At 38.2% G+C, this 25,206-nt stretch overlaps 1 long non-coding RNA gene across 7 annotated transcripts in view, besides 1 other annotated feature; it reads right to left on the minus strand.

Moving 5' to 3' along the window:
* LOC105375716 (uncharacterized) overlaps positions 1–25,206 on the minus strand; it is a 436,284-nt gene that overhangs the window by 292,515 nt on the left and 118,563 nt on the right. For 2 of the 7 annotated variants that reach the window (XR_928572.3, XR_928571.2), the window contains one exon: positions 17,781–17,880. The exons of the other annotated variants lie outside the window; for them this stretch is intronic. This is a non-coding gene — a long non-coding RNA (uncharacterized LOC105375716). The remainder of the gene's footprint in view (positions 1–17,780; positions 17,881–25,206) is intronic. 7 annotated transcript variants of the gene reach the window in all.
* Positions 11,128–12,327: an enhancer, noted in NCBI's record as "CDK7 strongly-dependent group 2 enhancer chr8:118400318-118401517 (GRCh37/hg19 assembly coordinates)". NCBI's record gives its function as "activates an origin of replication core promoter dependent on BRD2, BRD4, P300/CBP, MED14 and CDK7 cofactors, with strong dependence on CDK7, by STARR-seq in HCT116 cells {active_cell/tissue: HCT116}" and the evidence as "EXISTENCE:reporter gene assay evidence [ECO:0000049][PMID:35650434]".

The raw sequence follows: 25,206 nt of genomic DNA on the forward strand, positions 1-25,206 counted from the left end.
AGACTACTTAAGCTTTTTAATTTCTTCGAGTTTTTTTCTTTTACCTCCTGTATTCTCCAGACCAATGAGCAGGAAAACCTTTATAGGGAAAAGGATCCTGTGAGCTTGTCTTTGGGTGAAGCAAAGAAGACAATGTCTAGGGAGATGACATTCCTTCTCTACAGTCTTTTGTGCAGAAGATCCGCCCTCCTATAGCTACCAACAGATAGAGTGGTGGTAACCTTAAAGAGAAGAGAGTAGACTGTGTCCCTGAGGTCTGCTGTAGGAAACAGAAACAGCCCTCCCTGGACGGAGAAATGCACCTGAACAAAAGCAAGGCTCTGCTGCTCTGACCTATCCACGTTAGGATGTGGTTTTGTTTCTCTGGCATTGAAATGGGAGGGCAAGGTTATCTGCTGTTCTCTTATGACCTCTGTCACATTTATTGTGACACATACGTAGTATGTCTAAGGGATACTACTAGCTTTAAAGAACTTATAATCTGGTAAAGCACATGATACAGGAGCACAAATAAGGACAAATGGCAGATGCAAGAGAGGTCCAAGCAAAGTGAAAGAAGAGAAATTGATTTCATCTGGAAAGACAGACCCAAAAAGAGTTCATACGAGTGAGCATCTACACCTGGAATGGGCTTGGAGATAAGGACAGAAGCTGTGCTGGTACAGACAAAAGGCAAAAATATATAAAAGAGAGCAAAACAATTAGAAAAGGAATGAGGTGCCTGTAGTCCCAGCTACTCAGGAGGCTGAGGCAGGAGAGTGGCGTGAACCCAGGAGGCGGAGCTTGCAGTGAGCCGAGATCGATCGTGCCACTGCCCTCCAGCCTGGGCGACAGAGTGAGCCGTCTCAAAACAAAAGAAAAAAAATAAATAAAAAAAAAAAAAAAAGAAAAGGAATGAATACAAAAAGGCCTAGCACTGATTTGAGAAAAAGTCAGCAACCCAATTTGGATAAATCATCCAATTTGTAAAAGATTTATATCAAGATACATAGGGAAAGCTATGTTAGAATATACCCAAAGGATTATAAATCATGCTGCTATAAAGACACATGCACACATATGTTTATTGCGGCACTATTCACAATAGCAAAGACTTGGAACCAACCCAAGTGTCCAACAACGATAGACTGGATTAAGAAAATGTGGCACATATACACCATGGAATAACATCCAGCCATAAAAAAGGATGAGTTCATGTCCTTTGTAGGGACATGGATGAAACTGGAAACCATCATTCTCAGCAAACTATCGCAAGGACAAAAAACCAAATACCGCATGTTCTCACTCATAGGTGGGAACTGAACAATGAGAACACATGGGCACAGGAAGGGGAACATCACACTCCGGGGCCTGCTGTGGGGTGGGGGGAGGGGGGAGGGATAGCATTAGGAGATATTCCTAATGTTAAATGACGAGTTAATGGGTGCAGCACACCAACATAGCACATGTATACATATGTAACAAACCTGCATATTGCACACATGTACCCTAAAACTTAAAGTGTAATAATAATAAAAAAATAAAAAAAAGAACTAAGTCATAGAGATCTTGGAGGATTTTTTCTTGTGACAATCTACTGGATGGCTTAAGTTAGCACATTAAGACTAAGACCCCTACAGTAAAAAATATACAGAATATTTGATGTTGCCAAAGAAAAGAAGTTAGACTGCGTACTCAGGTTTCAACTGTAACTCCACCACTTAATCACTATGAAACTTTGAGAAAATTATTTAAATTCTCTGTTCTTAATTTTCTCACATTTGAAATGGGAATAATGTTAATTAGGGGTTGTTGGGGATTCAGTTATAGAAGAGATGTGAAGAGATCAAAATCATACCTGGCACATGGTAATCAGTCAATTAATGCTAATTTTTATTAGCTGCTCTTATTTCTTGACACATACTATCTCCCTCTTAATTTGGGATATGGCAATAACTGACACAATATTAATTTCCCTGTAGGAAGGGTTGGCACTCAGCATAAATGTTAAGTTCACTCACAACTCCCTGAACTTAAAGTTAATTCTCAAGTTAACACAAATCTGCTAAAAACACAGAACTCATCTGCAGGCTAGAAAAGAGCAAAGATGGGCTCAAAAAAAAAAAAATCAATTTAGAGACTACCCACACAATGCTATTCACTAAAGTGTTGTGTCTCAGAGTGATTCCCTCTTATTTTACAACATACCAACAAACGTAGAGATAAACTGAACGTGCCTGTTGACAGCCTCTACGGAGCTGCCGACTGAATGGAGCATCTTTGAGGTAGAATAAGGTGTTAAACCATTATCGTTGTCACTGGTGTTTTGATTGGGTGAAAGGGCTGGTTGTAGATTTGGTCTCTACACATATTCTCATGCCCCCTCTATTACAAGCCAGAGGCTAGGGAGAACATCTTTTTTCTAGGCTTGACTCAACACTTCTAGACCCTCTGCTTACTCCAAATTTAGGGGAAGGCATAAAAAGTTACCTAAGTGACTTGAATGTACAACTTAGGCAATACATTTTTTTGTTATTGTTGTTTAGAAAAAAAAGTAGTTTTCTCGGTTCTCCCAAAGGCTGTACCTGTAGCCAACACTAAATAACTTGCTTAAAATGTGGCCAACTGTGCCATTTATTTTATTTAAATTGTGGTAACAAGGAGCTGAGTCATTATGAAGACTGAAAACTCTGTCTTAATTTCTTTTTGATCATGCAATTTCACAGTGACTAGGAAAAACAGTTCAAGACAGAATAGCATAATAAGAATGATAGTTGTGGAGATTCAGAATATTTAAAAGGAATTGTTTAGCCAAAAGGGTGAAGGCTGAGAGGTGACATAGTAATCATCTCAAGTATTTTTTCTTCTTATGAGAGAAAAAGTAGCACTGATTGAGTTTCTAATATATTTTTATGTGCTATGCCATGGATTTATATATGCTTTCATGCCATCACATAAGAATCTCATATAATAAACAAGGGAACAGAGGCTTGGAGAGGTTAAATTACTTACCTGAGATTAATCAATTAGTGGATAACAGAGACAGAACTTAGTTGATTAAATAGGTAGTTAATCAAGAGAAAATATATTTGATAACAAAGCTGTTACTTCAGAAAATTGGTTGCTTCCTGGTATTTATTGTAATAGCATTTGAAATTTACAAAACAAAGCAGAACAGAAAACTTCTTTTATCTTGACATTTATATTAGATTCAAGTATATCACTAGGTAATATAAGGCCTGGAAAATATTTCTTAACTAGTGTTTTATGATATAAAGCTGCACATGTGGGACATGAATTCTAAGCCCTGAAATAACAAGGAGGGAGAGGGTGCATATCTGTTCTTAAGGTTGTTCACAGCACAATGCTTAAAGAATTGCTTTGAATTAAAAATGTCAAAATCAGTGTTACTTGGCTCACTCTCTTGAATCTTTTCAATTCTGTACTAACTAGCCAAACATATCACTTCAAACAAAGATAACAAAAATCCATTCTTTCCATATTTGTATGAAATTTAATTTCTTCTGCTCCTACCCCCACATTTTCAAAATGCCTGAACCACAAAATGAAGGGAATGAGTAACAACAGTGGTTTGGACAATGCCTTCAGGAGCTTTCCTATCAGGAAAATGGTTTATAAATGAAGTCTAGCTAAACCAAGATAATTCATTGATTTAAATATAGTCATTCTTTCTTATTTGGCTCCTAAGATTAGTTCTGAATTCTGACCGATGGCCACACCATTGCTTACATGTTATTCTGCCCTTTCTCATCCTGGAGGAAAGCTCTGAACCCAGAATCATTTCTATGCAACAAACAACAGTGAAGCACTTTCCCCATACCAGGTACGGGGCTGGACACTCAGGAGGGAGATGAACAAGCAGACCCTCTTCTCAAGGAGCTCACAGTCCCTGTGTAGTGAAACAAATCATTACCATATATTGTGTAACAATAGAAAGTGGCCCAGAAAAGGGAGAAAAGCTGGATTTGTGGGAGATCGTCTTGAGACTGTGGAATCTTAAAAGAAGAAAACAAGTTATGGGATTAACAGGAGAGAAAGAGACTTGCTGCTGTACCAAAGAAAATGCTTAAATGTCCATCTCTGGGGAAGACTTAGATCTTATTGTCTGTAGAATCTTACCTGGGAAGTTTTTTAAACTTCCACATGAGAGGACTAATTTAATCATAACTTGAAGCAGCAGCAACATAGGACATATTTATTTATAAAATCTTTCTCTAGACATTGATTTTGTGAGAGTGTGAAAAATCAGACAGATTTTCAACTTATGAAAGGAACAGCCCTTTGTATGTGTTATTTTAATTGTGTAATTTGGCATCTATACCTGAGAAATAGCAGATGGACCTTACAGGATAGAGCAAGCAACATGGATAATTTTTTCCCTCTTCTTTTAAAATAGCTTCCAATAATAAATATTAATAAATTCTAAAAAGACTATTTAGTCATCAACAAGATCGTCTTTATTTTTCTGTTGGCTGGAAAACCCTTAAGCAAACTCATTTATTTTCTTTAACTATCACAAAGTAGTCACAGTCCTTTAGGGATTTCTTGCTTAGCATTCTAACCATGTGTGTGCCTCAAGGTACTCCTTTCAATGGGATGAACTTAGACTACTTACCAGAGGAAACAAGGAGGCAGAGGAAAACAAGGAAAAAATGTAATAAATTACATTTTTAGGAAGGAAGGAAAAAATGTAATAAAAAAGAATCTAGGCTGGGTGCAGTGATTCATGCTTATAATCCAAGCACTTTGGAAGACCAACATGGGAGGACTGCTTAATCCCAGGAGTTTGAGAACAGCCTGGGCAACACAGTGAGACCCAGTCACTACAAAAAAAAAATTAAAAATTAGCTGAGTGTGGTGGCATATGGCTGTAATCCCAGCTACTTGGGAAGCTGAGGCAGGAAGATCGTTTGAGCCCAGGAGGTTGAGGTTGCCATGAGCCGTATTTGTGCCACTACACTTTAGCCTGGGCAACAAAGCAAGGTCCTGTCTCTTAAAAAAAAAAAAAAATGTAAACCACAAAGTCATTCTGAGTTGAAGCCATCCTCTGGAGTCAGGCTCCCTGAATGTGAATCTCACCTTTACTGTTTATTACTTAATAGACCTTGAGCTACTTACTTACCCAAGGCCTTCTCCTCTCATCTGTGTGGGCCTAATAACAAAACCTACCCCTATGAAGTTGCCATTTGAAATAAAGAGAAAAGACACATCATACATCTTAGCACAGTGCCTGCCATAAAGCACATAATATTAATTTATCTTCTATTATTTCAAAAAAGCCCAATGTTCAAATTGAGTGTCTTTGGATGAACAAATGTTATCCTCTCTAAAAGGGATGGGTTGATGTTTGTTCAAGACTCTCCATACCCTTAGGTTCCTTCCGCCACCTGCCAATATGCCTGCTGTCATTTCCTGCAATTATTCCTTCTTTAATGATCTCTTTTTTCTATTTAATTTGAATTTATTTAGAAAAACATAGGTTTTGCTATAAAGGAGTCACTACTTTTCTCAAATTAAAGTACTGAAAATATCCAGTAAATAAAACAAAACAAAACAAAAAACGTTTCCTAGAGTCTCTAGATTGATACAGAGCACCAGGCTATTTATCAAAAGTAGAGTTTACACATTTAAATTTTGCAAGGGTAAAAATATTCCTTGAGCAGGATTTACGGCATGAGCAAAAGTGTAGAGTCATAGTTGTAGAATTTTAGGATTCAAAGCGATCCTAAAGAATGTCAAGTCCAATGTCTTCATTTTACAGTGCAGAAAGCTAAAATCCAGAAACAATTAGTAACTTTTTATTTATTTATTTATTTTTTTTTGAGACGGAGTCTCGCTCTGTCGCCCAGGCTGGAGTGCAGTGGCGCGATCTCGGCTCACTGCAAGCTCCGCCTCCCGGGTTCACGCCATTCTCCTGCCTCAGCCTCCTGAGTAACTGTGACTACAGGCGCCCGCCATGACGTCTGGCTAATTATTTTTTTGTATTTTTAGTAGAGACAGGGTTTCACCGTGCCAGCCAGAATGGTCTCGATCTCCTGACCTCGTGATCCGCCTGCCTCAGCCTCCCAAAGTGCTGGGATTACAGGCGTGAGCCACCGCGCCCAGCCGACAATGGGTAACTTTTTAAGAAAGTTTAAGCCAGTTCATGAACTATAGGACTCTCTCACAAGTCCTCCGAGGTGCAGTCAAGTGGCCTTTTGCTGGGCCTAGAAGAGGCTAATAAAACCCCACATAGTTCCAGCATCCTAAGGAAAACAGAGAAAAACAGAGAGACAAGTACCGTTTCTCAGGCCCTGCCCCAGAATAGACCCCTGCCACAGTGGAGAAGTTGGGGCTGCTCTACCTTTGCCTCAACCCCCATGGTTCTGGTATGACAGTAAATCAGAACTGAGAGGCATGGTGACCCAAAACTGTTCACACTGAATAGTGAGAAGCAGATTCACTGTGCACTGGTTATCAGCGTTTCTGAGTCAAGTGACAGAGAAGCCCACACACAAAACAAGTTATCTGAAATGCATTTATTACACACAGGCAGCAAGGGACAACAGAAGCCTAGGGTCCATTGTGAGGCATTCCCCGAAGGCTCGGGAAAGCTGCCTGGTGCAGATGGAGTTTTTTCTACATATGTCCCACTTGCACCACAGCTGAGGGACCCCCAAAAGGCAGCCTACCCCTGGGTTATATACCTCAGGGTCACGTGACCCACTGGGCTAAGGAACTGAATGATAATCTTTTTCTTAAGACGGTCTGGAACAGAGACCAGGCTCTTCTAGCCAGTCCTTCTTCATCTCAGGCTGTTGCATTTCCAACACATTCTACAGTTATTCTTAAAAAGGAAAAGTAGAATAGGGGAGAACTGGGGGATCTAGGGTCACCCAAAGAACTATCCTGCAATTAGTCCAAGATTACAGGACCTATTCAGACCAATTAAACCTGGGAGAGAGATCCTCTTCCCTTGGTAACATGAGTGACAATGAGGTCTGTTTCAGGCTGCCTACTGTCAATTTGTCCATCATACAGAGAAAGTCTTTCTGTAGTAGGATAGAATGAAGTCAACAAGTTAAAAAAAAAAAAAAAAAAGCCAACAAAAACAACGAGTGAGCTGGAAAATGATGACAATATATGATGACATAGTTAAGCCACCCAAATCCCACCATGCAGAAAGGCCATTCTTCCTTGGACTTCCTGGCCACATGAGCCAATAAATTACCTTTTCAGCTTAAATGGATCTAAGATAGGTTATTTGTATTTGCAATGGAAAATGTCCTAATGCAAATACTTATAAGTTGTTTTACCACTATATACGTAATATCCACCTAATTTGACAGCATTTGTTTAGTGATTCACCTTTATTTAATCTTTTCAGAGAATTCAGCTTAATTTCTACACAAACAATAGCTCCATTTCTTTGTACACTCATATTTTATTGGTTTTATAATAATTATATAATTACAATAATAAATGCAACTGGCATAATTAGGCTTGTGAACAAATAAAATGGACTTTTTGGAAGCTTAAAATCCAACCTGTGGGAGCAGAAGTGCTTGGCACAGTAGAGAGTAGTCTACTGTTCAGGAGTAAGTGGAGTGCCAAGGGCATCCAACATTTATGCTTTTTACAGGGGAAAAGAAGAACATTGATTAACCCATCATGATAGTTAAGTAGAGATTGGTTAAAAGAGCTTTTGTTTTACATTCTTTTATTTCACACTCTTAGCACATTACCAGGTACATATTAGGAGCTCAATAGATGTTTGTTAAAGAAAATAACTCTATAAATACTTCTAGAGCTCCTACTCTGGGCAAAGCTTTGTCCTAATCACTGAGGGGGAAACAAAGAAGTATAAATTTTCTTTTCAGCTTTCACAGAGCTTATGTGTAACAAGGGAGTATATTAATTAAAAATTGCCTCTGGCTGCCAGTAACAGAAAGCTGAAATAACAGTGTTTAAACGAATTAGGTGCTTATTTGTTCACATAACATGAAGCCCCGAAGTTTAGCAGCCCAGGACTAGTATAATCATTCAGTGAAATTGTCAGAAGTCAAGGCTCCTTCTATCTTCCTGCTTTATCATCCTACAGCACACTTTCTGCCTTCAAAGCCACCTTACGGATTGTATTAATCAGAGTTCTCCAGAGTAACAGAACTAATAAGATATGTGTACCTATAGAAAGAGATTTATTGTAAGAAACTGGTTCATGAGATTATGGAGGCTGAGAAGTCCCAAGATTTGTAGTCACCAAGCCTAGGAGAGCTGATGGTGTAGTCTTAGTTCAAAAGTCAGCAGGCTCCAGACCCCAAAAGAGCTGACATTTCAGTTTGAGTCCAAAAGAAGGAAAAGGTTCTATTCTGGTCTTTAGCTGATGGGAGGAGGCCCATCAACATTGGGGAAGGCAATCACTCAGCCTACCAATTCAAATGTTACTCTCATCCAGGAACACCATCACAGACATACCCAGAATAACATCCAGCTGAATGCATGGGCACCCTGTGGTCCAGTCAAGTTGACACACAATTAACCATGACATCAATCCAGTTGGTTGCTACAGCTCCAAACCTCAGAACCAATTATCAGATTTCAGGGAGGAGAAATGTATACTAAGGGACACATTTGTCAGTGAGTTAATAAACTTTTGAAACCTTACTCTACTTTTCATGTAACTTCTTGTTGACATATCATTGGCAAGAACCAATTATAATTTCATGGGCACACTTAGCTGAAAAAGAGCTGGGGAAATATCTTCTTTAAACTGAAATCACTGTCACCCAATATTAGGTTGGTACAAAAGTAATTGCGGTTTTTGCCATCCCTTTTAATGAAAAAATTGCAATTACTTTTGCGCCAACCTAATAAAACTGGGGTTCTATGACTAATGAAAAAGAGCAAACTGACATTGAAGAGGGCTACCAGCAATCTCTTCTACAGGGAGCTAAATTGTGTGAAACTCCAAATTCTTCATGAGGACTTCAGACTAAGAGCAGACATGAAGCCTTCCTTAAAAATAATTAAATGCAAGTTCATGCAGAGGAAATTTAATAGAGAAGAACATTTATTGCCCCTCAACATGAAGCAGAGAGTCAAATGGGCACAGAATAATAAATGGTTTGCTTCCTAAAAACCTCATTATTGCCTTATGTTTTTCAAGATCATCTTCATTGGTAAAAGGTTTTCATTCAACTTCTAATTAAAATTCTAACGTTCAGAAGCCACTTTAGTCTGAAAGGCAAAGCACAAATGGTTTAGGATAAAAAGATGCCCCATGTCATGACACATTTCTTAAGAATGACTACAACAGCATTCCCCTGAAGTGTGAATGTGACTTTAGTCTTACCACATACATGGCCCAAAGAGTAGAATTCCAAAGCATCTAAATAAATTGGAGCCCCCAGGAGTGATAAATACTACGTTTGTCTCACTGCCTTCCTCCCTTTGACAGCCCTTCTCCTTGTTAATAAGCATTTTTTAGGTTCTTAACCTCGCAACAAGCCTTGTTTCTCAGATCACTAATGATTACCCCCTCTTGCAGTGACATGCTCAACAAACACTCCATTTCAGATCCTGAAAAACTTGTGAAAATGAAACAACACCAGATTTTCTCACTGACATCACCCTGCTTCTAGTGACAGATCTGAAATGCCTGTGCATGCTAAATTTAGTGTTAAAAAAACTTTAGCTGGTGTTCAAACTGTCAGAAACGCTGTGGAGGGCCCTGACTTGTAAGAAGATGTGGCTTATTGTTTTGACAATTCTAGTTTTTCCTCCTTCTATGTCCTGCAAGGTTTTAAAAACACAGGTGAGATAAGAGTAAAAGATTTTCCATCTTCCCTTTGGATCAACAATTCTCATCCTTTGGGGAACTCACCTTTTGCTTTATTCTATGATACACCTTTCCTTTCACCTTCTGAAGACATTTTATGGCAGGAATTTATTGTTTCAATTTCAATTAATTTTGTTTTGACAATCTCTTGACACTATTTTATGGTTGAAGACACCCTGGGGTGTGGCAAAACCAAGATTGTGAATTACTGATCCCTTTGTTCAAAGAAAACAGTTTCCCTTTTATGAGAAGGCCAAGATAAAAAGGACTAGAAGGCAGTAAATTGAGACTGCAAATTCTCTAACAGGACTCCAAATTTGTTATTAACTCTGCCTTCCTTAATGGAAAATATAGAAGAGAAAATTGCAACTGATGAAGAATGGTTTAAACTCCTGAAAAAACTTGAAAGGATTCTGGATTTTTTTTATTTTTAAGAGAAATTTTATTTCTTTTTTCATGACAAAAATAAAAGAGAGGAAAAGGAATGTCTCTAAAATTTGTGAAGCATTATGACAAGGAGATGCTTATATCATTAATCTCAAGGCTCTATGGTGTAGTAACATTATTTTCAAACTGCTGCTTGGAACCATTTACACAAGAAGAATATGTTAGGGGATTTAAGGGAGGGGTCACTATCCTGGAGGCTTGGACGAGAGAAGATATACATACAGAGACACACAGAAACAAAAGGAACACAAAACTGTGAGTAAGAAACTTATTTTATTACTTATTCTTCCATTAACCAGCTTTATAATTATGGGCAAGTCAGTGCTTGTCTGTCAAATGAGAAGGTTAGATGATAATGAGGTCCCTTCAAGTCCTAAGTTCCATGCTTTTAAGACTTTTATAGTTTCAGTTCTACAGAGAAGAGGGGAGAAACAGACTTTGGAATTGCAAGAATTATAATGATCTTGGATGAAAGCAGGTCGTCCTTCATTATGAAACCCTCTTCTGGAATACAATTAAAGATCAGGTGAGGGGAGGAAAGAAATGCAGAGGAAATTTAATAGAGAAGAACATTTATTGCCCCTCAACATGATTTAGAATAACTAAATTTATTCTGCCTGTACCTGAAGAGAATATTGTGACTTTGGAGATGGATTCAGTCTTCCTATTTAGCTACATATTGAGATAATATATTCATTTTTGTGTCCCCAGTGGAACATGGCTGGAGACAAGAATAGAAAGGAGATCACCCAAAAGCACACTCAGCAAAATGCTCCATGCTTCCAGGCCCCGGGGGGAAGTCTGGTTAAAATTCATGTCCAAGTGGCCCTGGAATCAGGGACATAAGCATAGAAAATTGTCTGTAGAAACCAGTGACCCTCTAACCATAACAAAGCAAAAGAGTCAGGAAGACGTTTTCCCCATAGGCTGGGACAATGCAAAGTGCAGGCATTTCTAGAGCAGTTATGTTGCTTTCTTTGTTCATCTATTCATTCTACCAGTGAGTATTTGTTAAATATCACGCTCTGTGAGAGACGCTACTGAAATGCATAAAGGAAAAAGGAATCATGAAGTATCCACATTTTATAGGTGGAGGCATTTTCACAAGCAGAATAACATGTCAAGTGCAGGGATAGGGAGGTATATGGTTTCCTGTAGTTGCACAAAGAGAATATTCACCATCCAGTTTGCAGTAGGTCATCAGAAGGCTTCCTGAAATAGCTGATATTTAAAGAAATTCTTAAAGTGAGTAAAAAATAGCTATTGAAAAGACCTGAGAAACTGGGGGCAATATTACCCCAGGAAGAAGAAAAGTGTACAGGTGAGAATCTGCATAGCCAGGCCCGAGGACAGTGGAAGGACTGTTAGTCACGAAAACCCTCCCAATGATTCATTCTCTGCCTCACCCTCTGTGAGCCAGGGTGTGGTTAGGATGGATGTGGTGAGTAAGATTGGGTGCCCTGGAGGATTGCTTGCACCTGAACAAGGCAGAAAGCATCTCACCCTTTTCTTTCTTTACCTGAGGAGTGAAAGTGAGTAGTCAAACACATTTCTGAGCTCTGTCACAGCTTTATTTTTCTAAATCTTACTTCTGACAGTCTTCTGCTTAAAACCTAATCATCTGGTTTTTCTAGATTTACATAGAATAATGGCTGCCTCTTAACTCTAATTCTTTCTAAATATTCACCCAAAACCCACCTGGATAAATAAAATCAGCAAATAAAACGACCCATAATCTATGCTTTCTGCAGGAAACAGAAAATACAATAATGTGAGCTTAAAACACTGGCAAGTAGGGAAATTTTTTAAAAATCCAGTTTAGGGGAAGAGTAAGGCAGAGATATGAAAGAGGCCAAAAGAAGGAGGAAAGAGGAGCAGGGGCCACAGGAGAAATAGGGTAACAGAATCCAAATAGAATTCCCTCCAAAAGCTAAATCCCCACCATGCAGTGGAAAATACCAAGAACAAATGTAGAATCTGGTAGATCTGAGTACTGGCTAGAAAGAAAGGAAAACAAGAAAGAAAGGAGAGAAATGAAAGGATTTGCATGTAATCAGGACCCAAAGCAGCAACATTGGAAACTAAAACTTCTGCATGGGAATGGGGCAACTTGAGAAGGAAACATGCCCCATGGGCACTTACTTGGTAGTGAAGGTAAAAAAATATATATAAAAACAAGAAATTGAGATTTCTGGTGTGTGTGCACGTGTGTGTGTGTGTGTGTGTGGGTGTGTGTGTGTGAGAGAGAGAGAGAGACAGAAAGTGAGAGAGAATCACAAAACAGAATACACAAAAATTTTCCACACACAAAAATAGCTAAATTAATTAGAGAAACTACACTTCACCACACTAAAGGAAGAGGGTAGTCTTGAACTAAGAGAGAGAGAAAGTGAGAGGGAATCACAAAACGGAATACACAAAAATTTTCCACACACAAAAATAGCTAAATTAATTAGAGAAGCTGCACTTCACCGTACTAAATGAAGAGGGTAGTCTTGAACTAGGGAGCTTGATAAGCCTGTCAAAACTTTCACTTTTGTGTGCATACAACTGCTATTGCTGGTCCAGAAAATTAGACATTCAAAATAAGTATGAAAAGTAGATAATATCCATACAAAGTTAGACAAAAAAGAAACAAATTAAGAATTAAAATGTACCAGCTGTTAAAAATACTCCCCAAAATGTCAACCATGAAGTAGAACAAAACTGCAACATAAGAGCTCCATCTGAATTAAATATCTGAAAACAAGAATTTGTATATGTAAAATAAGTATCTCAAATCAGAAAGGTAAAACTCATAGCAAATATGAACAAAAATTAGGAAGATGTAAAATGACTGAACACAGGAAAGAAATAGTAGAAAAAATCAAATTCATCCTAGAAGTGAAGACATTACAAATTGCCTGAATGAGAAAACATTGGATTGAAATTTAGTAGGGACAATTGAATAGTCAAGAAAATAAAAACAGGGCAGAGAATAAAAATAACAAAAAGGAAATAATTTAAAAGGATCAAGGGAAAGTATTTGGCATAGGCAAAGCAGATGCAATATACATATAATTGGAGTCTCTGGGGGACCAAAAACAAAAAAACAACACAATAGAACAACATTTTAGATCACAATCCAATTTTTTTTTCAGAAATAAAAGACCTATTTGCATAAATTAAAAGGACCTATGGTGTATAATATGTAGTGAAAATTGTCCTCATGGTCTGCAAAGCAAAACAACAAAAAAAGCCCCACATTATTTATAAAGGAAATCAAATTGGCATAAGATTTCCCTACTGCAACATGCAAAGACAGATAACAGTGGAGAAACCTTTTCAAAAAACTCAAAGAAAGTGCGAGCCAAGGATTTCATATCCAGCTAAGCTGTCCTTCAAGTGTCAAGGTTATATAAACACATTTTTAAGATATGCAAGAATCTAGGGATACTGTACATGTGCCCTTTACAAGAAAATCTACTAGAGGACAAATTTGTCCAAAGTAGAAATAACTGAGGAAGCTTTTTTTAAAGGCAGAGAAATGAAAAAGGAAGGTGAGAGTCAAAGTATGTAAGTTAAAGCTCAGAAACCAAATAGTCAAACACCAACTAAGTAAAAGGAGAATGAAGAACATTTTTCACCTGCTAGTGTATAGATAACTACTAGAACACAAATAAAAGTACTTCTAAGTACAAAAAGATGTAAGAAAAAGTAAAACAAAGAAAATAATAGACATTGACCGATAGATGCTGTGAAATACCACCCAAGTCCTCCTTCACTGATTGAGAGAAAAGTATAAAAGCCCAGCTCCCCTTTTTACTCTAACTCAGGATAACTCTGAGAGGCCATCTTAGCTTCAGAGATTTCTACGGGTTTCGCTGAGGCCTTTATTGTGTTTGCATCACTGCACAATTTCACTTTCTTCCTTATCCCACTTCCTTTACCTTCCTTCTACAGGTGTTCATCAAAGAGTATCTACTAATATACACCTAGCATGCTAATCTGCATCTCATAGTTTACTTCCTAGAGAATGTAACCAGTGATGGTTGACCAGAAGTGGTCTTGCAGATGCTAAAATTGAATTTTGGAGCTGGATCACTTACCAGCTAGCTGGCCGGCAATGAGAACCCCATTACTGATGGTTAATCAAGCATAAAGTAGCAGTGAAACACTTTCACTGGGGCAATCTGGGATGGTGTATTGTTTAATGGGAATGCACTAATTGCTGCAAGGTATCAGCCATTGGGAAAAAATTAAGGAAATAGAAGCTCTAAGGAGAGTGGAATTGGGTGACCTATTGCTAAACTATTGCTAAGCTTGATGGATGCCCTGGGGAAAGATAACATCATCATCAAATCATAATCAATAATCACCAAATAAAATCTAAATGTGAAAGGCAGAAAGCCTCCTTGGTAGCATAACAAAAACTTCCTAATCACTTGCAACAGAAAGGTAGTGAAACCTAAGGATTGGTTTTAAGATTTAATAATAAGAGTAACTGCGTTCCAAAGAAGGTTAATCTCTATCATGACACATGAGATGGCAAAATCTGAGTTGATGGACCTGAAAATCTTGAATGCCCTAATTCCATTGAATCCTTTGAGACTAAGAAAGTAGCCTACTCCTCCTACTAAGCATCAGTACATTCCCTCAACTCTTGGGTAAGGGAGTGAGAAAATCACATTAAACAGAATGCACACAACTCCTCCCCCACAAAAAGAGAACAATTGATTAGAGAAACCACTTCACCATTCCAACAGAGGAGGGCAGCCTCTTCCTGATATAGGTGTCTCTCCTTTAAACAATCAGCACCCACTCATGATCTTTCATTATCTCATTTCTTTGCTTTTAAGTCCAAACCTAGAGTTAAGTCATAGTCTAACCCAGCCAGGAGTGTGTTCAGCCTGGAAAAAGGTGGACGGTGACTGCACAGCTGCATGACCTAGTCAACATTTACCAGAAGGAGCTGGAAGAGCACACATGAGACTGATTACAAAAAATGTTCTGCCAAGGGCAAAAGAAAAAAACCTGGATAAGAGGAATTTATCAGTATGGGAGTATTTAACAGCCTGGCAAAAAGCCCTCGGAAGAGGGTGCAAACACACTGTAAGGATGGCCACTAGAAGTATGAAAAAAGCAATGGCCCCCATGTGGTGAGAAATAAATTCCAGAATTTTTGTGGCAGATAGTAGAAGAAACAATTAAAAGAATCAAAGAAGTGGACATGTTAGAGTGGATATACTACAGAGTGGATATACTACATAAAGTGAGAAAACTCACCAGATAGTGATATTCCATCACTGAGGCCAGAGGATCCACTATTTGTCAAAGGGCTAAGGAAGGAGCTGGTGAGAGGGACATCGGTGTCATTGCGATGTTCATTAATGCTTGTTAGTCTAGGGCTGACAACAGAAGATGCCATTCCCAAACTATAGCTCTCTAATAATAATGAGAATGATAAAACTTCAAAACAAAAGACTAAATAGCAATGTGTGAGCTTCGTCAGCAGCCTTAAGGATGAAGCTATTGTAACAAGTGGTAAGATTGGAGCAGCAGCCAAGAAGAGCTGAGAATGGAGAGGGTTATGAGATGGTATTCCTAGGGGCAAAATAGAAGAGTAGCCAATTAGGGAACTGCTCAATGTGTGCAAGCCAAAGAATTCAGTGGCAGATAATCACAAGGCAGATCAGGGGGAAGTTCCCAGCCCCCAATTCCAAATATAAAAGTCATGATTCCATGCCAGTTTCTTGTCCAAATGAAGTTACAAATCCAGATCCTATAGACTGGAAGGGAGGACAGGTTCCCAGGAGAAAGGAACCGACAAAATCATGGCAAGGAAAAATGGCAATGATTTCTTCAAATAGTTCTCTTTCTTTCAAATAGGGACCCAATCCTGGGGAATAGCAAACACTCACACATTTCAAGGACTGTTGCATGTAGGGACCAAGTAATTATTAATACCCAAAGTGTTATTATGCCACCTCCACATTAGAGTCCTGGCCCAGGTCCAGCTCACAATGGGTCCACAGGATTCATGGAACCACTTAGCAGTCATTTCTCTAATCTCTGAATGTGTAATTAAAATAGACATAGTTGGTAGTTTCCATAACCTCCAGATTAGGTCATTGTCCTACAGCATTAGAGCTATCGTAGTGCAGAAAATAAGTGAAATAGAATAGAAATACCTGAAAACAAAATGATTCAGAAAGGCAAAAAAGAAATGAGTGGAGCAGATGGGACAAAAGTATACTAGTCAAACGAAACCAAGGAAAAGAGAGGATGCATCCTTCTATCATATAAGAATTTATGCTCTAAAGCAAAAACGAAAAAAAGAGAGGCTTTCTTGTACTAAAGGCCATACTTTTCAATGAAGACATGACACATATAAAATTTTTGTATCAGAAACACAGAAACCACCATCATAAAGCAAAAATTACAAGTGATATAGAGAGAAATGAACAGAAGCACACAACTATCAGGAGAATTTAAGCCAGCACTTTCAGTCCCAGACAAAGATTAAGTGAACAGAAAATAATATATTGATTATATATTCATTATATATTTATATTTCTATAAATATCTATATTTATATATGTATATGTAATTTGCTCCTTGATTAAAAAATGTAGAACTTCTCAAATGCACCTAAAACATTTGTAAACATTGACAATATAGTCATGACTCAAAGAAAGCATAAAATACATTCACAAAGTAGAAATAATATTAACAACAATATCTGATCACAAAGTAATAAAACTAGAAATTAATAACAAAACCACAAAACAAAACAAAAATTCTACTTGGAAATTAGAAAAAAAAAGAAACTATTATATTACTCTTGGGTAAAGGGAAAATGAAAATCAGAATAACAAGTTTTGTAAAAATTAACGATAAAAACACTCATTATGTCAAAATGTGTGGAATACATTTAAAGCAGTAATAAAAGGAAAAAATTTATAATCGTAGATATTTTTGTTAATAAAATAAAAAAAGAAGAATTACATCCAATGAAAAGAGGAAAAATAAAAACAGTTAAGCCAAAAAAATTAAAGGAAGGAAATAAAAATAAAACTGAGATACTAATGAAAGACAAAACAATAATCAGTAAAAACAATTAATAAAATGCTGAATCTGTGAAAATTAAAAAAAAAAATGGACAAGTCAACCATATTGGTCAGGGATAAACCAAAGAAACAAACCAGTAGGTGATACCTATTAAGAGATTTATTTCAGAGAGTTGGCCTATGTAATTGTGGTAGCTGGGTAGGCACATCCAAAACTCATAGGGCAGGCTGTTAGGAAGGACAGGATAGAATTCTCCTTCAGAGTTGCCGTCTGTAGGAAAAATTTTCTCTTCCTTAGGGAAGCCTCAGTTCTGCTCTTAAGATCTTTGAACTGATTGAATTGAGCCCAAAGATTACTGAGGATAACCTCTCTTACTTAAAGTCAACTGTATTAGTCTTCTCAGGCTGCCATTAAAAAAAAATACCAGAGACTATATGGCTTAAATAACAGAATTTGATTTTCTCACTGTTCTGGAGGCTGGAAAGTCCAAGGACAAGGTCCAGCAGAGCTCGGTTTCTGGTAAGGGCTCTCTTCCTGCCTTTCAGATGGCTGCCTTTTTGCTGTATCTTCACATGGCAGGGAAAGAAAGACAGAGTGAGAGGGGAGAGAGAAAAGAGTCTCTTCGGTGTTTCTTCTTATAAGGACATTGATCCTATAGAATCAGGGGCCCACCCTTATGACCTCACATAACCTTAATTACTTCCTTAGAGGCCCCATCTCCAAACACAGGCACTGGGTGTTATGACTTCAACATTTGAATTACATATGGACTGAGATGCAATTCAGTCCATACCATCAGTTAATTATAGACTTCAATCACCTCTACAAGTTATCTTCACAGCAATACCTAGGTTGATGTTTGATTGAATAACAGAAAAACTAAGACTATAAACCTAAACTAAGTTGACACATAAAACTGACCATCACACCAGTAGATAACCGAATTTGATTCCTAAAAACAGGAATAACAGTGAGATTGTAATGTCGCCAGGAAGTCTTGATGTACCCCATTGAATTTACCAGAATAACCTCCCCACCCAGCCCCTGACAGCCAATAATTTTATCTACACCAGAGCCATTCTAACTTCAAGGTGCCTAAGAAGCACCTGGAGATCTTGCTAAAATATAGATTCTGATTTAGCAGGTGGGATGGTTTGGGGCCTGAGATGCTGCATTTCTAACATGTTGGCAGGTGAAGCTGATGCTGCTGGTCTAAGGACTCAAGTTTGAGGAGCAACAGTACAATTAGAATATAATTATGAAACTCCTGAATGTCCAATTTAGTCTTACTCTACCTTTCAAAAATATTTCCTTTCTATTATGTGTCTAAGGATACGTTGGAGTGCTCATTTGTGCTGAGGAACCACCTCCTGGAGGTTGTTGCTACTGGCCCTGAAACATAGAAGCACCAATATTACACATAGACTTTAGCAGCTCATGCCAGATTTAGTCTGGCCTGACAGCTTCTTGGCTTTTAAATTTACTTGAATAGCTATTTTCTTAGGTCATGAACCTACTACCTGGATGGCTGGGTCAGAACCTCATGGACGTAGAACTACTCTTCCCCTTTTATCCACTCATCTTGGTTTAGGGCACACTGATCGTATTTTTCCTACTGCAATGAGCATAACTCAGAGGCCATTCCATGTCATAAGATCTGCTCTGGGCTACCTGTGTCCACTACAAGAGATTTTAATAACTTTTAATATTGGAGAAAAAGAGTTGGGAACTCTATATTTTTATGCCCAGAAGTCACCTTATCTCTTTGGAGAAATCTGTCTATATTTTTATCTATTTATATTTTACCTATTTTTTTATCTCTTGCTGCATAAGAAAGAATATAAAATCTCAGAGGCATTTTGTATTGTTATGGGCTCAATTGTTCCTTACATTCATAGTCATGAAGCACTAACTCCCAGTACCTCAGGATGTGACTGTTTTTTGGAGATAGAATCTTTAAAAAGATAATGAATAGAAAATAAGGTCATGATTTTGGCCAATGGCACATTGGTAGAAGGAACAGCATGACACTTCTGACCCTAGGGCATAAGGGTGAGGTCTAATGCTATATGACTGATATCCTTATAAGAAGAGCAGGCAAGGACACAGATGTGTATACACACAGGAAATATCCTATGAGTACGCACTGAGAAGGCAGTCCTCTGCAAGCAAAGGGAGAGGCCCCAGACAAAATGAAACCTGCCAACACCTTGGTCTTCGACTTCTAGCATCCAGAACAATGAAAATATGGATTTCTGTTGTGTAAGCCACCAAGTCTGTGGTATTTTGTTATGGGGGCCTGAGCAAACTCACACATATCATGATAAGTGCTGCTATAAAGACACATGCACACGTATGTTTATTGCGGCACTATTCACAATAGCAAAGACTTGGAACCAACCCAAATGTCCAACAATGATAGACTGGATTAAGAAAATGTGGCACATATACACCATGGAATACTATGCAGCCATAAAAAATGATGAGTTCATGTCCTTTGTAGGGACATGGATGAAATTGGAAATCATCATTCTCAGTAAACTATCGCAAGAACAAAAACCAAACACCGCATATTCTCACTCATAGGTGGGAATTGAACAATGAGATCACATGGACACATGAAGGGGAATATCACACTCTGGGGACTGTGGTGGGGTGGGGGGAGGGGGGAGAGATATCACTGGGAGATATACCTAAGGCTAGATGACGAGTTAGTGGGTGCAGCGCACCAGCATGGCACATGTATGCATATGTAACTAACCTGCACAATGTGCACATGTACCCTAAAACTTAAAGTATAATAAAAAAAAGAAAAAAAAAAGTGTTTGCTTCTTATGTTCCTGCAAGTTGGTTGGGATAGTTTTGCTGTTTAAGTATCAGCGCATAGCCCAGGGGTCAACTGATCTAGGCTAGAAGAGCCTGGATCTAGGTATCTCTGTATCAAACTGTAAGCCTGCTGGTCAGCCAGGTAGTTCACTATGGACCAGGGGGTTAGCCAAGACATGTCCTTCCCATGAAGATATCAGAGGGTTAAGACAACAGCAGAAACCTGTGATGCTTAAGGCCTAGGGTCAGGAGTGTCATGCTGTCTCTTCCACCAACGTGCCATTGGCCAAAGCAAGTCATATGGTCAAAGTCAAGTTGTTGGGAAATATATTCAGCTCACACCAAGGCCATGGTAAAAGTGTGAATATAGGGACCAGTAATTCAGTCTACCCCAGACACCAGGTACTCTTTGAGTTCAGAATAGTTTCTCTTGGAAAAAATAAAGCATAGCTTACCAGCGTATCCTTCGTGATAATAATGTTTTTACATTTGTCTTCTAAATTTGATTTTGAGCTCATCAAGAATGGAGGCCATATCTTATTTGTTTTTGAATCCAAAGAGACTAGCACAGTTCCTGAACACTACCACACTAAAAGGTATAGTATGACATGGTGATAAGACCATACATTATTGCATCAGACTCCCTGGATACAAATTCTACTACTTATTGGCTGGGTGATCTCAGGAGACTTACTTAACTTCTCTCTGTCCCTTTTAATTGTCTGTAGAATGGCAATAAAATATTACTTGCCCCAAAGATTGTTCTAAGACTTTAAAAATTCATTATGTAGAAAGCCATTCAAACAGTACTTGGTACATAGGAAGGACTTGCTAAATGTTAAATAATATACATTGTAATTATGTGGTTACTTACGTTCCTATCCTCTCCTACTCTTTACTCCTCTCTAGATTGTGAGCTCCTTGAGGTCAAATATTCTGCCTAAAATTGTTTTATGTGAGGTGCATAGAGTTGGAGCCACTCAAATCTGGGCATGAATCTTAATTCTGTTACTAATCAGAAATTATTTAACTTCTCTTAACCTTGGCCTCTGCATTCACTTATTCATTCATCAAATATTTATTATCACCCCTGCTAGACTATAGGCTCTATAAAGGCAGGGATGGATGTTTACCTTGCACTTAGCTTCATCCCCAGGGGCCAACATAGTGCCCAATCCACTGTGGGCTTGATAATTGATAAATTTTTTAAAAATGTCTTCATGAATGAATATGCCAGACACTAGGTGTAGCAATCAAGAACAGGATGAGAAATAAGGCTTGATGTTAACCTTGCCGGAATTTGTAATCAGGAAACAAAAAATAATATAGCTTCTCATAGGGTTATAGTGAAACTCAAGGAGATACTGTATGAAAAATTAAGCAGAGTACCTGGCACTTAGTAAGATGCTTCATGGTTGTGACCCCAGCAATGGCTCAATTAAAAGTATACATAACTCATATTTTAATAAGACATATTACTAGAGTAATGTATCAAAAAGATGTTAGAGATAGAAATGCATTATTTAGTTTGTGTACCCAATTTTAAGCAAAATAGTAAATCAAGTAACATTTGTGCAACTGAAGTGAAATTTCCAGGAGTTGGTTAATGTTGAATTATAATTGAAAGAGTAAATGAGCAGGGAGAAGATGAATTAAAGAATGAATGAAAGAATAAATGCAAAGTCACAATAGCCAAACAGAAGAGCAAAGAAATAGATGGTGTTAAATTTTGGGTAGTGCTTTTTCAGCTAAAGCTAAATCATTTTCATGATTTGCACAGCCTGCATCTCAGCCAGAAACAACTTTCCCTGGAGGGTTCACAGCCTCTGAGAGCAAATATTCTCAGAGGAAGTTAGATGATTCATGAGATGACTCCTAGGGAGACTGGCAGAAATAAAATCTCTCAGGAAAAAAAAAAAGAGTCAGAGAGAGAGAGAGAGAGAGATCAAGGTGATTCATCAGATTTATTTTCTGTTGATCATTCATTTGGTACTATTTCTAGGCAATATACAGTGTAAAGAGAGGCAAAGTGATGTTGAAATGGGAAGTTTACAAAACAGGTTGGCTGAGCATACTAAAAGGGTGTTTGTCTCAAGATGGTACAGGAGAAGTAAGTTTGGCTTCAATAATCTCTGAGGCTTTGGGCCTTCTAGATTCTTCCTCTTGGCAAAATTGCCATAGCTGCATATTTTGAGGAGCTCTGTGGCATCTCTTATTGAATCACCCAATAGATTTTTAACAGCATCACAAGTTACTCCTGAACGGTTAAGATCACTTCTTTTATCCTGGTGTGAACTATTAAAACTAATAAAATTTTATCTGGCTGAGGGAATCACAGAATTATAACATTTCAGAGTTGGAAAGGTCTTAAAGGTCACAGAGTTTTCATTCTGCACTGAGCGTTGGGAGGAGTGAGAAATTTTATGCATTTCTGAACCTGTGAGACTATTATGACAGTCCAAGAGAACAGATTTAAGATGAAGACGACGTTTACTAGCCAGGCGATTAATTGATTAAATTAAATATTAAGAGCATTATGAGTGAGCTATGATCTGACTTTAGCAACAGACATTTTAGAAAATGCTTGTCTTAGTTATATACTGGAATTATTGGCAATTTTCCTGCAACTGTTTTTTCAGAACTCAGGCAGAAGCACTTACTAAGAGTGAATCCAAGATCCAAGATCCTGCCTTTACTTCCAAGGCCAGTCTTTTTCAAAATATGTTAGCAAAGTTAAGACTTTGTTTTTTTTTCAGGGTTGAACGCTGAGATCTCTTCCCACCCATAAAAAGCCCAGAGAACAAAAAGTTGGCCCAGGTATTGAGTGCGAAGTCATTTCTGTATGTTTCTGGCTCTTGTAAAACAGTAATTTCTTTAACAGTTTAAAGCTTCAGAAATTTTACTTTGCAATAAGCCACTGCTGGAGTCAGGTGAGGTCAAGGTTAATATGCAGAGGGTATGCATTTATTCAATCAGGATTTATTGAATAACTAGCATAGGTTAGTCCCTGTAATACAGACATGAATAATAATATCATCACTGGTATAGAAATATGAACAATGGAGTCTCAGCAAGGAAGATGACTAAGGCTACCTGTAGGGGAAACAGAGCAAAGCAATCTTGAACAATCTTGAAGGATGAAAGATTTCCTGGTGGGGAAGTAGGGAAAGATATTCCAAGCACATTTTTATTGTTATCATTAACAGCTAACATTTATCAAGTGCTTTCTATGGGCCACATGCTATGCTAAAGGCTTCATGTGCATTTATTTGGTTCATCCTATAACCCCACGAGGTAAATACTATTTTTTACATTTTTTAATAAATGAAGGAATTGAAAATTCAAAAGTTTGAGTCCCGTACTCAAGCTCTTATAGCTAGTGGTCCTCTGACCCCATATAAAATATACCCCCAAACTATCATATTCCATGTTTTGATATGAAGTTTGCTCAACAATAAAATGATCATTCAGCTTCCCAAGTTTATTATTCATTTATCATTGAGGTTGTCTCAATATTTAATGTTTTAATTTGGGGTATTACAAATTTAAAATATACATCAATTTATCAGTTAGTCTCTTCTGGACAAACTACATATCTGGTCTATAAAGCCAAGCACCAGAAGCTGGACTGGGATTGCAGCTAGATAGTAAGATCTGAAATAACTCTTAATTGAAGACTTCGATGGAATTTCAAAGGCAGTCATGAAGCATATGGTCTGGAGACAAGTTCTAAATCAAGTCAAGGCAAGAATTGAAAAGAAAGCCAATGTAGAAAGCTACAAGTCCAATAATTTTGAAAAAGAAAGGTCAAAGGAGGTGCGAGTGATTTAAAAGAGTAAAGTACAAGAGAATACCTTGAACCTCTTAGCATGCAACTCAGTTTTGTATCTCATTCCTATGGCCAAGGACAAAGATGTCACCTGTTAATGGACAACATCACCTCAATGCTTTTCCAGAGGAGAGAATAGATAAGGAGTGGGCACCTTATCCCTGAGGCTCTTGTTAAGCACCTAAATTTTTGTCCATACATTTGGTAATATGACTGGTCTAATTGCTCAATATTTTGTCATGTTTAGATAGAAGTGCATGAGGAAGGTAATAATGTCTATTCTGTGTTCTGTGCAGTGCATTGGTTGATACTGGCCCCGCTTACTAAGTAAATCTCCACTGATGCTCACCTCTCATGGTTTCTAAATGATTTGGTAATTACTGTAAAGCCATACATAGGCATTAGGGACAAACCAATGGTTTAATGGCTTTCATTTATTCATCCAGCAAATATTTCTGGAGTGTCTTCTATCTACCTGGCACTATTTAAGGACAAGGGACACGGTGATAAAGAGAATAGAAAAATGGCCTTTTTTTTTTGAGACAGAGTCTCGCTCTGTCACCCAGGCTGGAGTGCAGTGGCACAATCTTGGCTCACTGCAGCCTCTGCCTCCCGGGTTCCAGTGATTCTCCTGCCTCAGCCTCCCAGGTAGCTGGGATTACAGGCATGCACCACTAGGCCCGGCTAATTTTTGTGTTTTTAGTAGAGATGGGGTTTCACCACGTTGGCCAGGCTGGTCTCGAACTCCTGACCTCAGGTGATCCGCCCGCCTCAACCTCCCAAAGTGCTAGAATTACAGGTGCGAGCCACTGCACCCGGCCAAATAGCCTATTCTTAAACAATGTGTTTTCATTCTAGTGAAGGAACCAAACAATAACCTTATACACAAATACAAGATAGTTGAAGAATGTGATGGTACAATAAAGAACATTACCAGGATAATGGTGTCGAGGGTTATTAAGGAGAGGGGTGGTATGTGCTTCTTTGCATGAGGTAGTCAGAGGCAGCCTCTCATGGCACTTGAACTGATCCTGGAAGGATGAAAGCCTGGCCACCATGCAAAAGGACAGGGAAAGAAAGTTCCTGACAGAAGTGACAGAAAGAACAAAGGTTTTGGAGTGGTAGAAAGCTTAGTGTTCAAAGAACTTAGACTTGATCAGGGGAAGTTGCAAAGACCATGGAGCTCCTTAGGGAATTTCACCATATCAGACAGTGAAAGGAATTACCAGGCTTGGAA

The sequence above is a fragment of the Homo sapiens genome, chromosome 8 (assembly GCF_000001405.40).
Source record: "Homo sapiens chromosome 8, GRCh38.p14 Primary Assembly".
NCBI lineage: Eukaryota > Metazoa > Chordata > Mammalia > Primates > Hominidae > Homo > Homo sapiens.